At 60.5% G+C, this 13,480-nt stretch overlaps 1 long non-coding RNA gene across 2 annotated transcripts in view, besides 3 other annotated features; it reads right to left on the bottom strand.

Annotated features, from left to right (window-relative positions):
• Positions 1-13,480, bottom strand: part of LOC124903820 (uncharacterized) — a 33,257-nt gene that overhangs the window by 2,115 nt on the left and 17,662 nt on the right. The window contains exon 2 of one of the 2 annotated variants that reach the window (XR_007065351.1): positions 1,142-1,344. This is a non-coding gene — a long non-coding RNA (uncharacterized LOC124903820). Of the gene's footprint in view, positions 1-1,141; positions 2,138-13,480 lie in introns of those variants that run through there. The other variant, XR_007065350.1, reaches the window with a different exon arrangement.
• Positions 1,084-1,153: an enhancer, noted in NCBI's record as "active region_13". NCBI's record gives its function as "activates an Ori minimal core promoter by ATAC-STARR-seq in GM12878 lymphoblastoid cells {active_cell/tissue: GM12878}" and the evidence as "EXISTENCE:reporter gene assay evidence [ECO:0000049][PMID:35858748]".
• Positions 1,504-1,683: a silencer, noted in NCBI's record as "silent region_42". NCBI's record gives its function as "represses an Ori minimal core promoter by ATAC-STARR-seq in GM12878 lymphoblastoid cells {active_cell/tissue: GM12878}" and the evidence as "EXISTENCE:reporter gene assay evidence [ECO:0000049][PMID:35858748]".
• Positions 1,754-1,993: a silencer, noted in NCBI's record as "silent region_41". NCBI's record gives its function as "represses an Ori minimal core promoter by ATAC-STARR-seq in GM12878 lymphoblastoid cells {active_cell/tissue: GM12878}" and the evidence as "EXISTENCE:reporter gene assay evidence [ECO:0000049][PMID:35858748]".

Here is a 13,480-nt window from a genome sequence, read left to right as displayed (position 1 = left end):
AAGGCCCCAGAGTTTTCTGCAGAATTATAAACTGTGTCTACCTGGAACTGAGAAACAGTGAGCGAGCAGCTCACCAGCCCTGGGACGAGGAAGGCCCCAGCCCCGTCCACGGTTCCTCCCACCTGGGCAGCTGTGTCCTGGCCCAGGTGCAGCCGAGCTCTGCCCTGCACAGCACAGGGCCCTCCACCCTCGCTGCTGTGGACATGGAGAGTGGCGGGGCACTGGGCGTGCCCCCGTCGCCCCATAATAAAATCCACTGTGGCCGCTCCCCTGGCTTTGAGGAGGAATATTTGCGTCTGGCTGAACACCTGCTTCCCGGCTTCATGGTGACACTCAGGCCCCACACCATCCTGCCTAATTCCTGAGTAGAGGGAAAATGACTGTGTCTGGCTGTGGAACTGGAGCTGCCTCTGCTCCTTGTGTGGAGCTGCTCGGAGAAGCGGGAGCTTGGCAGCATGGCCCAGACTTGCTCACACGTCCTCACCTGCTTTTCTTTTTTTAAATGGAGTCTGGCTCTGTTGCCCAGGCTGGAGTGCAGTGGTGCGATCTCGGCTCACTGCAGCCACCACCTCCCGGGTTCAAGTGATTCTCCTGTCTCAGCCATCAGAGTAGCTGGGACTACAGGTGTGCACTACCATGCCCAGCTAATTTTTGTATTTTTAGTAGAGACAGGGGTTTTGCCGTGTTGGCCAGGCTAGTCTCAAACTCCTGACCTCGGGTGATCCGCCTGCCTTGGCCTCCAAAAGTGCCAGGATTACAGGCATGAGCCACCATGCCCGGCCCCTCACCTGCTTTTAAACCAATCACGTGGTTCCCACTGCCCTGCTTTCATCCTGGATGAACCTGGGTATGGCTGCTGGAGGACCCCGAGCTGGCCAGTCCCTACCCAGGCCCCAGGGCCCTCGGGTGCCTCTGAGCTCCGTGGATGGCCAGTTCTGAGGCCCTGAGCTGGGGGGAGGATTGCTAACGGAGTGGCTGAGGGCTGATGCCCGCTCTGGGGTGCAGCAGGGCCCCCGCACCGCCCGGGTGCAAGGCTCAGGGAGGGGAGGCCTGGGACGCTCGCTGGCACAGGTCTCTCTGGGGGCAAGGGCAGGGGCAGGGCTCAAGTCTCGGGAGGCCCAGGCCGGCATCCCCCACCTACCAAGGAAGTGAGTGGCCCTGGGGCACAGCGCGTGGCGCCCGAGGCCTCTCTCCTCCTCCACGGAGGGGGCCCAGTGGCTCTGCCAGCTGGCGTGAGCTGGTCGGTGTGGGGCCACTCCACACCCGGCCCCGCACAGTGGCTGCACTTGGTGTCGGAATCTCCAGGAACTGGTGGCTGCCAAAGGTTCCGGCCTGGTCCTCCTGCTGGGTAGGACATTGTCATGGCAGCCGGGTGGGGACCGTGGAGGGGAGGGGGTGTGGCTCTCCGGGGACCAGGCTGGCGGCTGGTGGCAGAGCCGGCCAGAGGGTACCCAGCCCCCAGCCCCCAGCCCTGGCTGGGCCCGAGGTCTCGCTGGGCGGGGCAGGCAGGACAAAGGCCCTTTGTGCTCTGGCTCGGGGCTACTTCCTGATGGCACCAGACACAGGAAGCCACAGGGTCCCCGTTTCTTGGGCCAGACTGCCGAGGGTCCCGCCTGCGCCGGGGGCTACCTTCCCCCTGGGACGGTGCTGGGAAGAAGGGGAGGGCCCAGGAGCCTCTGGAGCTGCGGGCTCAGGGCTGGGGCCCCCCTCAGGCAGGGACACAGCTCAGCGCCGCCCGGGGCTCCTCCGCTTCTTCCGGGTTCTCCGCGCACAGCCCCGGGAGCCGCTCCTGGCTCCTCGGCCACCGGGGCGCCCACAGCGGGCGGGATGGCTGGAGGCTGGGGGCGCCTGCCCAACCCTCCCTGGGGACGGTGCCCCACCCAGGGTGCCAGGCCCCGGATCCTCGCTCCCCCCTCCTGACCCTCCGCAATGTCAGGGTCTTGACCGGGAGCGGGGCGGGGCCCGTGACCCCCTACGGGTTGAGGGGAGGCCCGGTGGCCCCTTCACTACTTGAGGGAGGGCCTGGGGCTAATTTTGGCTTTGCCTCCTCTAGTCAGCACCAGCCTGGAACACAGACAGGCTTTGCTTGGAGAACCCTGGGAGGAAAACCCAGTCTCCTCGGCGGGAAGGGTGGCGCGTCCCCAGGGCCTAGAGTTTGAGATTAAACAGGATCGGGCGGAGGGAGGCCCCTCCCAGCAGCTCCGCCTCCTCGGGGCGCCCAGCGGTCTTTTCCACCTCGTCGCCTTCCCCCTTCCTGCTCCACACGAACCCCGGTAGCAGACACCCGTTTCCACCCCGGCAGGAAGGCCAGGGAGCCTCCAGGCCGATGGGAGGCAGGGCTGGGGCGGGGCTGCGGGCGGGGCGGGGATGGAGGGGCTGGGCTGGGGCGGAGCTGGGGGCGGGGATGGCGGGGATGGCGGGGATGGCGGGGATGGCGGGGATGGCGGGGATGGCGGGGATGGCGGGGATGGCGGGGATGGGATGGGTGGGCGGGGATGGGATGGGTGGGCTGGGGGCGGGATGGGTGGGCTGGGGGCGGGGCTGCAGTCCCTAGGGCTCGCTGGATCCACCTGCTGCCTTTGCCTCTGGACCTTGATTCCAGGGCCCAGTGCTCCCCGCCCAGGCCATGCCCTTCTACCATGCTGCCAGACAAGGCAGGTGACCCCACCATGATTTAATGCTGCACAGAGCGGGGGGCCTCCTGCACCCTCTTCCAGCTAGCTACCTTTTCTCCCACTTTGTCCCGGCTCCTCCCACCTGACCCAAGACCCCAGGCACCTGTTGGCCACTGCAAGCTCAGGGCACCACGGTTCAAGCCAGAAGGTCACTCTGTCCCCAGCCCGAGGTCCTGGGTCCTGGTCCTGCTGTGCGACCTTGGGTCTGCCCACAGAGGGTTGCCACAGGGCGGACCAGCCCAGTGCCCGGGACCTCCCCCCGCCCCCCTAAGCAAGTGCTGGCCCACCTTCCCCCCACCTTCTTGCCCTGAACCAAGCTCTGGGACCTGCCCGTGTCCAGCTGGGGCCTGTGGGTCAGCACAGCCTCCTCAGCCTGGCTCACCCTGACCGGACCCACCTCCACCTGAGGCCCTGAAGCTCCCATGTCCTCCCCCAGGGCTGTATCCCTGATAGCTGTGAGGCTTAGCCACGGCCTCTACTGAATTCTCAGAAAGGCGTTAACCAAAAGTCTGGAAGCTTTGCCCGTGGTCTGAGACACAGCCCTCTCCCGGGAGCCTGATCTGCAGCCTGTCCCTTTGTTTTCTTCTCAGTTATTCATTGAGATCTGCCCCAGTCCTCCACAGCCACCCTCGTCCCCAGAGGCCTCTAGGGCGCCAAATCCAGGGGTGACCCTACGGCCTCCCAGCCCAGCCTGTGGGCAGCCGGTCACCACGTGCCTCTGAGGCTCAAATCCAGAGGTGACCCTATGGCCTCCCAGCCCAGCCTGTGGGCAGCCGGTCACCACGTGCCTCTGAGGCTCAGCCCACTCAGCCACCGGAGCACAGGCATTCCTGGGAACCAGCGGGCTGGGGTGCTGGTGCCGGGGAAATGGAGGGGGTGGATGGAGATGGGGACAAGGCGTCTGGAGGCTGGGAAGAATGTGCACACTCTTCCCTGGTGTCGTCGGCACAGATTTCCTGCAGATTCCAGCTGAGCAGGTGTAGTTTGAGTGGGAGTTTCCCGAGTGGGGACTCCATGCTGGTTACGGCGCCCGGCAGAGCCTGGGTGGAAGTGCACTGGCTTCGCCTGATGACGAGGGAACGGAGGCTGTGGTCAGGTTGGCGGTGCCCTGAGGAATCCCAGGACTCCTGGATGGGAAGAGTGTGGGGTCCTGAAGGCCAAAGGGAGAGAGTGCCCCAGGCAGGAGACATGGCCAGTGCCCACAGGGGTGGCCTGTTTGCAGGCGTGCTGGCGGAGGTTCTCAGATCCACCTGCTGGCTGAAAAGTACTGAAATGTTCAACCATCCGATTAAAGCTTCGAAGAGCCAAGGAGCTGGTAAGAACTCACTAAGCCAAAGCCATGGATAAAATATTGCCTAGAGCACTCTGCCACGTTCCTCGGGGGTCAGCAGATGTGAACTTTTGTTCCAATGTGGAAATCATCCACCAGGAGACCCTCCCCACAAAACCTGGGAGTCCCAAAGGGCTCCACTCCCAAAGTGAGGACGAAGTGAAGTGACTCCATCCTCGCAGCCCCAGTTCAAGTCACTTCCACAGTGGTCTTCCAAAGGCCACTCAGGCCCAGGCAGTATTGTCCCAGGTGTCTGGCAGAGGAAAGCCGAATGGGGCAGTGCCTTTGCTCGAGGCATCAAATCGTCCTACAGATACTTGTTCAAGTACAATGACCAGCACGCCGTCGAAGATAACCAGTCTCGCAAAGATATGATATAAGCAAGAACGGATGGAATCAGACACCAGCAAGCCCCACAGGGGCCTGAGATATTGGATTATCAGACACAGACCAAAAAACACTAAAATCAGTGTGTTGAAAACAAAAAAAGACGTTTTATATTTGCAGAGAACTTTAGCTTATAAAAATTATGTAGTAGATTTAAAAAGACAATGAGCTTTTAGAAATGAAAATATAACCACAATTTAAAACTCAATGGATAGGCTTAACAGAAGATTTAAAATTGCTGAAAAGAAAACTGGGGTCTGGACGCGTTGGCTCATGCCTGTAATCCCAGCACTTTGGGAGGCCGAGGCGGGAGAATCACCTGAGGTCAGGAGTTTGAGACCATCCTGGCCAACATGGTGAAACCTTGTCTCTACTAAAAATGCAAAAATTAGCCAGGTGTGGTGGCAGGCACCTGTAATCCCAGCTTCTCAGGAGGCTGAGGCAGAAGAATCACTTGGACCCAGGAGGCGGAGGTTGCAGTGAGCCGAGATTGCACCGCTGCACTCCAACCTGGGTGACAGAGCCAGACTCTGTCAAAAAAAAAGAAAAAGAAGGTAGGAAGGAAGCAAAAGAAAATTGGGGAACTGGAAGACAGGTAAGTGTAAATTATCCAGAATGAAGGCTAGAGATTTTTTTTTTTTTTTCGAGATGGAGTTTCACTCTTGTTGCCCAGGCTGGAGTGCAATGGCACAATCTTGGCTCACTGCAACCTCTGCCTCCGGGGTTCAAGCAATTCTCCTGCCTCAGCCTCCCAAGTAGCTGGGATTACAGGCATGCGCCACCACGCCTGGCTAATTTTGTATGTTTAGTAGAGACGGGGTTCCTCCATGTTGATCAGGCTGGTCTCAAACTCCCAACCTCAGGTGATCCATGCACCTCATGCTCCCAAAGTGCTGGGATTATAGGCCTGAGCCACCATGCCTGGCTGGCTAGAGATATTTTTAAAAGACAATATGGATAAGGGTGGGAGGGTGAAATACATATATAAAATATAGAGACTTGGAAGAAGAGAGAATGGGAGAAATTAATATTTGAAGAGATACTATCTGAGAATTTTCCAGAACTGTTAAAAGACATCCAAACACAGATTCAAGAAGCCCCATGAATCTTAAGCCGGATAAATACACAGAAATCCCCAGCTTGCCGCCCACGTGAGCCATCCTGAAAGCCAACAATGAAGAGTTGAAAACAGCCAGGGAAGAGTGAGACAGGTTCACTTCCAAAGACCAGTGGTGGGACTGGTGGCAGACATGCCCACAGCATGATGGAGACAGAAGACAGTGGAACAGCTGCTTTACAATATGCACTGGCCAGAAAGCAAAACAAACAACAACCAGAAGAGAGCTGAGAACATTTGCCACCAGTAAACGTTTGCTAAGAGAATGTGCAAAGCACACACAGCCACGGGACGGTTCCAGGCAGAAGGTCTGCTGTGTGAAAAGTGATGAAATCCCAGTTGATTTTGGCTTTGCACAGCAATAATACTAACAATGAATTGCGGCATTTTTCAATATCTGGAATTAAAATGCAATTGTTTGCTGGGTGCCATGGTTCACATCTGTAACCCCAGCACTGGGAGGCCAAGACTGGGGGATGAGTTGGAAACCTGCCTGGGCAACATGGTGAAACCCTGTGTCTACAAAAAATACAAAAAATTAGCTGGGCATGGGAGTGCGCAATGGAGTCCCAGCACTTGGGAGGATGAGGCGGGAGGATCCCCTGAGCCCAGGAGGGTGACAGAGTGAGACCCTGTCTCAAAAATAAAAAAATAAAATGCAATTGTTTACAGTCCCACTAGTGGAGAAACCTGATGGGCACAGCCTCAGCTGGGTGATGGAGGGGAGTGTTGACAGAGCTGGGTCGTGTGGAGAGCCTGGGTCCCTGAGAGGATGATAGAGCCGGGTCATGTGGAGAGCGTGGATCCCTGATGGGATGATAGAGCTGGGTCATGTGGAGAGCCTGGATCCCCAATGGGATGATAGAGCTGGGTCGTGTGGAGAACGCGGAACCCTGATGGGATGATAGAGCTGGGTCATATGGAGAGCCTGGGTCCCCGATGGGATGATAGAGCTGGGTCGTGTGGAGAGCCTGGATCCCTGACGGGATGATAGAACTGGGTCGTATGGAGAGCCTGGGTCCCCGGTGGGATGATAGAGCTGGGTCGTGTGGAGAGCCTGGATCCCCGATGGGATGATAGAGCTGGGTCGTGTGGAGAGCCTGGGTCCCTGAGAGGATGATAGAGCTGGGTCGTGTGGAGAGCGTGGATCCCTGATGGGATGATAGAACTGGGTCGTGTGGAGAGCCTGGGTCCCTGAGAGGATAATAGAGCCAGGTCATGTGGAGAGCGTGGATCCCCAATGGGATGATAGAGCTGGGTCGTGTGGAGAGCCTGGATCCCCAATGGGATGATAGAGCTGGGTCATGTGGAGAGCCTGAGTCCCTGAGAGGATGATAGAGCTGGGTCATGTGGAGAGCCTGGGTCCCTGAGAGGATGATAGAGCTGGGTCGTATGGAGAGCCTGGATCCCCGATGGGATGATAGAGCTGGGTCATGTGGAGAGCCTGGGTCCCTGAGAGGATGATAGAACTGGGTCGTGTGGAGAGCCTGGATCCCTGACGGGATGATAGAACTGGGTCGTGTGGAGAGCCTGGGTCCCCGATGGGATGATAGAGCCGGGTCATGTGGAGAGCATGGATCCCCAATGGGATGATAGAGCTGGGTCGTATGGAGAGCCTGGGTCCCTGAGAGGATGATAGAGCTGGGTCGTGTGGAAAGCCTGGATCCCCGATGGGATGATAGAGCTGGGTCATGTGGAGAGTCTGGATCCCTGATGGGATGATAGAGCTGGGTCATGTGGAGAGCCTGGGTCCCTGAGAGGATGATAGAGCTGGGTCGTGTGGAGAGCGTGGATCCCTGATGGGATGATAGAGCTGGGTTGTGTGGAGAGCCTGGATCCCCGATGGGATGATAGAGCTGGGTCGTGTGGAGAGCGTGGATCCCCGATGGGATGATAGAGCTGGGTTGTGTGGAGAGCCTGGAACCCGGACTCAATGGGGTGATGGGACACTGGGCTCTGGAACTTAGGACTCCATCCTCCTCTTCGCAAAACCCATAACCCCAGAGTATAATCATGAGAAAAACATCAGACAAACCCAAACTGAGGGACTCTCTACAAAACACCTGAGCAGCACTCCTCAAAACTGTCAAGGTTGCTAAACCAAGGAAAGTCTGAGAAGCTGTCACAGACCAAGGAGAGGTGACGAGGCCACGGGGCCTGGATGGGGTTCTGGGACGGAAAGGACAGGAGGGAAAAAGGCTGGCCAGCGTGTGGGGTTTAGCTGCTGGTCATCACTGGCTGCTGCGACAGACGGACCAGCTGACGTGCGGGTCTCACAGTGACGCCAGGTCTCTGTGATCTTTGAAACCCCTGTGCAACTTTTCTGTTGATCAGAAATTATTAGAAATAAAAAGTCTATTTAAATGTGTATTTAAAGTCCCACCAGTGACCTTTGTTGATGTCTTGCTGGTGGCAGAAGTGGCTGCTGTGAGCGGAGGCCCCGGGGGTAGCAGGAGACAGAGACGGAGGCCCCAGGGGCAGCAGGAGACAGAGGCAGAGGGGAGCGGGGCAGCCCCAGGCTGGGCAGAGCAGGAAGGGGCGTGGAGCCTCCGAGTCCTGGAGAGCCGAGGCCACAGAACGGACCGTGGCTGCCCCTCCTCGCACTCCACGCTCCCCCTGGGTGGGGCCGTTCTGGGTTTGGTGCCTTGAGCTCACCCTGAGGCTCTGGCTGGGCCCGAGCATTCTTGAGAGCCTGGCCTGGGCTTGGCAGTGCCACCGTCACCTCCACGTGTTGTCTGCTGGGGTTGCCGCCTCGACTCCGGGGAACTCGCCAGGGGTCCTGCCCCAAGAGACTGTGGGGAGGGGACCCTGGAGGCAAACCCTGTCTGGGACACGGAGGCCGGCCGTGCGGGAGGCAGGCGGCACTCCTGCTGGGTGGGGGGCCCGGGACAGGTGAACTGCGGAAGGGGCCTGGAGCCCGAGATCTGGGTGCCGGAGAAGGCCGTTGAGCGGTGAGGACCCCGGGCTTCTCAGACATCCTGAGCTGCGCAGGAAGGGCCCCCAGGTGGCTCCTCGGAACAGACGGGCAGGGCCCACCCCAGGGGCTGCTGACCTGGTTCTTAAACACACCGTGAGTCCTGAGGTTCTGGACCAGAGATGCCTCCAGACCAAGCCCTTAGGACCAAACTCGGGGAGCCTCAAGGGACGGTCGGTGACCCTCAGCACCATGGGCCCTGGGTAACTGCTCCCCAGCCAGTGTTCCCAGGGCTCGGCCGGGTCCCAGAAGGTGAGGGCACCTGGCGGAAACAGAACCTAGGGCTGCAGGCTTCACGACGCCTGGGAGGGAGCAGGCATGGAAATCCCAGCCCGCAGAACCAAAGCAGCCATGGAAATGTCTCAGGCAAATCACCCGGCAGCAGCCCCACCGGGCACGCAGGCCCTAGACGCAGCCCTGCTGCTCGCCAGGACCCCTCCCGGCCCCTCACCTCTGCTCCCCGGCACCCCCTCCCAGGCTCCTAGAGGCCCAGAGGGAATCTGGGGACTTGGGGCCTGAGAGAGGGATGAGGGCGGCTGCCCCAGGGTCCCCAGGGAGTCCGAGGCTGCCCTCAGGTCCGGTGGGTGACAGGACACCCGGGGTCAGAGCTGTTCCAGGGCGGCCACTTTTTGTCTTTGGGAGGAACAGCCGTGAAAGCTACCAGGACGGCCCCCTCAGGCCTTGGGGTGGACGCCCTGGAAGAGGCCAGTGAGGGGGCCCCAGCTCTGCATCCCCCTGCAGCCCCTGTGAGGGTTCAGGCCCTAGGTCTGGCCTCCTCCCAAATGGGGCCCTGGGGAGGACGAGACAGCCCCATGTGTCCCCCTAGCCCTCGGATGGTCCTGGCCTGCCCCCTGCCAGACCGAGAAGCTCTGGGTCTGGGGCTCCCAGTCTTCTGCTGGGGAAACCGGGGCCTGCTTTGGGGGCCCAAGCCGACAGGGTGAGCCCTCCTGCCCCTCGCCGGGTGGGGCCAGCCCTGCTGGGAGGCTTTCTAGGTGGGGACGGCTGATGACTCACCAGCCTCCAGGAAGGAACACAGGGCAGGCAAGGCCTTCCTGCAGGTGCTGGGACCCACCTGGGTGGGCCTGTGTGTCTGTGTGTGCCCTGCAAACAGGTGTGCAGCTTGGGCCTGAGGTCATGCACCCGCTGGGGAGACGGGAAGCGGCCCTACCCGGCCGGCGGACCTGGAGGCCTCTGTGCACCCCTGGGCCACCACCTCCCACCTTTCCAGGGCACCAGGAGCCCCAGACCCGGAGCGGCCTGGCTGGGGAGCCTTGGAGGCCGAGGATCTTCCTGAGCTCAGGCCTCCACTGGCCACCCCTCACCTGGCCTGCAGCCCCGTGCTCTCACAGCAAACTTCTCCACTGCTCAGCAGGGCCTAGAGTACCTGGAAGGGGGCCTTGGGCAGCCCCCCTCCATTGCCAGCCTTGCAGCCCACACTCAGCACCCCCATGGGGTCTCTGACCAGCCCCCACGCCTCCCCCTCCTCCAAGGGAGGGCTGCAGACACTCCCCATCCTCATAGCCTCCGACTGCTGCATCCCCAAAACCAACCTCCTGACGTCCCAACCCCACATCTGTGTCACCTGCAGGAACCCCCAGACTCCCAGGACACTGGCGTTCGACCCACGGGACCTGCCCTCCTCTGCCCCTTCCCACCACGCCCCTTCCCACCATGGGGCGCCCCTTCCCACCACGCCCCTTCCCACCACGGGACCTGCCCTCCTCTGCCCCTTCCCACCACGGGGCGGGCCCGCGGACCCTCAGCCCTCCAGCAAACCCACCCCAGCCACTCAGCCACCTCCTCCCCTCGGGCTGGGGAGGGGTCTGCAGTTGTCCCCACCTTCAGCTTCCAGGCCCCGCAGCTTGTGTCCCAGCCTCCTCACCCACCTGCCTGAATTTCCGGGGTGTTTGGCCCTGTCTATTCCTCTCCGCAAGGCCTCCTGTTTGGGGTGACTCGCCCCAGCCCCTCCCTCTCGCACCCTCACCAGGTCCCTGGGTCCCCCTCGGCTGCTCATGCCACACAGGGTGCCCCCGTGGCAACTGCACCCCCCTGACCTCTGATCCCGGACCCCACTTCATTCCCTCCTCCTTCCCTCGGGGGCTGGAGGACTGGCTGGGGCCTCGGTTCCTCGTTTATTAGTTTTAGAGACTTTCCTTCGTGGGAGTTCTTTCTTTTCATTCTGAAATAATTTCTGCAGAAGAGTTGCAGGTGCTGCTTCTTCTGGGCCTGACGCTCTTATCCTGAAACTCGGGTGTCCATGCTGCAAACAGAGGCCCCCCAAACACCCGCAGTCCGAGTGCAGGCTGAGACCTTCCCACACCCCAAAACACCCGCAGTCCGAGTGCAGGCTGAGACCTTCCCACACCCCCAAACACCCGCAGTCCGAGTGCAGGCTGAGACCTTCCCACACCCCCAAACACCCGCAGTCCGAGTGCAGGCTGAGACCTTCCCACACCCCCAAACACCCGCAGTCCGAGTGCAGGCTGCAACCTTCCCACACCTCGTCCCCATTTGTAGGCAGGACCCGGGTCACATGATGAGCCATTATTTTCTTTCATCTCCATCAGCCCGGGACGTGCCTGGGCCATTCCCCGACGCCCTCGCAGGTTCCGGGCCAGGACGTCGCACGCGGGGCTCAGGTCCTCGTGGCCCTAGGAAGGCACAGAGTGGTGCTGAGTCCTGCTCCCGACAGTCACCCACGGCGGTTTCCCAGGAACCTCATTCCTTCCACACCATCAGCCGCATTCTACCGTGAGGAGAAGCTTCTCTGCTCCCCACTGACTTACTTTACAGCCCTCAGGGCGACCCCGGCACTCCTGCTTCCGCTGCGGGTCACGGGCTGTCCAGCTCTGCTCCTGTCCTCTCCGTCATTCCTTGAGTCCTTCCTTGCTTCCCAGTACTGCAAGATGCTCCAGGCTCCTCCTGTATCTTTTCTGCACAGCCCAGGAATCAGCCTGGTTCCTCCCGGTGGAGAATGGGATTTAGAAGCCAAGGGCTGGGTGTGGGTGAACTTGCGGCTCCTGGGGTGTTGCTGGGTGGACGAGCTCAGGGATATACGTGCGGCAACCCAGGGACGCACCGGCACCTCGGCTCTCCACCCCCACCTGCTGTGGCGGGATCCACGGGCTCCGGCCCATCCAGCCTTCTAGATTGTGTGACGTTTGTGGCGTATTCATCAGCTTTTTTTCAAAACTTGCCATTTATTGTGATTTTGTTTCAGGTTGTAAATAAATATTTCACTTCTTTCCAATTTTTCATGCTTTATTCTGAACTCTTGTTCTTCCCTTTTTTTTGAGACAGGGTCTACTGTGTCTCCCAGGCTGGGGTGCAGTGGCATGATCTCGGCTCATTGCAGCCTCAGCCTCCTGGGCTCAAGTGATCCTCCTACCTGAGCCTCCTGGGTAGTAGCTGGGACCACAGGCGCCGCCACACGTGGCTAAGTTGTTTCATTTTTTGTAGAGACGGGGTCTCTCTGTGTTGCCCAGGCTGGTCTCAAACTCCTGAGCTCAAGCCATCCTTCCTCCTCGGCCTCCCAAAGTGCTGGGATGGCAGGTGTGAGTCACCGCGCCCGGCCTGTGCTTTTTCTTAAGGAGAGCCCCAAACAATATGAGCCTCAACAGCCAAGACGGGCGCCATCCTCTCTCCTCAGCAACTTACACTGAGTCCCGGCAGGAGGGCCCTTGTGCCCCCCAACCCTCCCTCTTTTTATCAGACCCCTTGCAAACTGCAGCTTGAGTCCTGTCGTCCACCTGTGGGGAGCAGGCTGGGGCCGCTGCAGGGCCTGGAAGATGGGTCCAGACTCACTGACTCCAATCCCCCAACCCCACATTGCTCGGCCCCTCAGCAGGGCTGGCACCTCGGGCTGGGACCTCTGCCTTGAGGACTTTTCCCCTTGGGCTCCAGGCACCGGGGGTCCCCACCTTCCTACCTGGGCTCCAGGCACCGGGGGTCCCCACCTTCCTACCTGGGCTCCAGGCACCGGGGGTCCCCACCTTCCTACCTGGGTTCCAGGCACCGGGGGTCCCCACCTTCCTACCTGGGCTCCAGGCACCGGGGGTCCCCACCTTCCTACCTGGGCTCCAGGCACCGGGGGTCCCCCCCTTCCTACCTGGGCTCCAGGCACCGGGGGTCCCCACCTTCCTACCTGGGTTCCAGTCACCGGGGGTCCCCACCTTCCTACCTGGGTTCCAGGCACCGGAGGTCCCACTTCCCACCTCTCTGCCCCTGGTGGCTCCTTTTCTGGCCCCTCCTGTTCTGACCTCTGAACCCACCGCCCCAGGGCTGTCCTTGGTGTCACCTGGTCCCTAGGCTCTAACGCCCTCTGCAAGTGCAAGTGGCCAGGGGCCACCCAGGTCCATGTAAACCTGAGCACAGATGCCGAGCTTCCCTGGACCTGCCCCCGCCAGCCTCCCAAACCTTGGGATCCTCCACATCCCAGCCCTCGGGAGAGCAGGCTGTGCTTCCAAAGTGCGCCCAGAACCCTGGGTCCTCGCAGCTAAAGGCACTGCCCCCGACGGCCGATGCCCGCAGCCTGGCTGGTGCCACGACGCCCACTGGCCCCGTGGCCACCCTGCACCAGTGCAGCCAGTAAGGATGCGTGAGTTGGGCCAGCCCTGCACTCAGAGCAGGCCCAAGTCCCTAAGAGTCCTTATTGCCCAGTCCCCACTCCCTGCACCCGCTTCCCGCCCTCTGCCCAGGCAGAGCCCCTCCAGAGCAGCCCCCAGTGTCTGTGCATTTCTGGGTTGGGCCCAAGCACCAGCCTTCATGCCTCTCCTGGCCGGCCCAGCAGATCCAGCAAAGCCACCTGGATGTTTCCCCAAGCGGAGGTGAAACGACAGTTAAAAAAACCCCAAAATCCCCAAAAAACCCATTCAAGGTCAACTTCTAACCGGCTCTGCTTCTAGCTAACAGTGGCCTCCCGCCACCGCTGACTACTCTCCTCCCTCAAGGCACAGGGCTGCCCCAGCAGGAGGAGGAGCTGAGCCCCTTTCTGAGGC

Source organism: Homo sapiens, chromosome 1 (assembly GCF_000001405.40).
Source record: "Homo sapiens chromosome 1, GRCh38.p14 Primary Assembly".
Lineage (NCBI taxonomy): Eukaryota > Metazoa > Chordata > Mammalia > Primates > Hominidae > Homo > Homo sapiens.
Note: the sequence above shows the minus strand (reverse complement) of the source record. Positions and strands in the feature narration are given on the sequence as shown.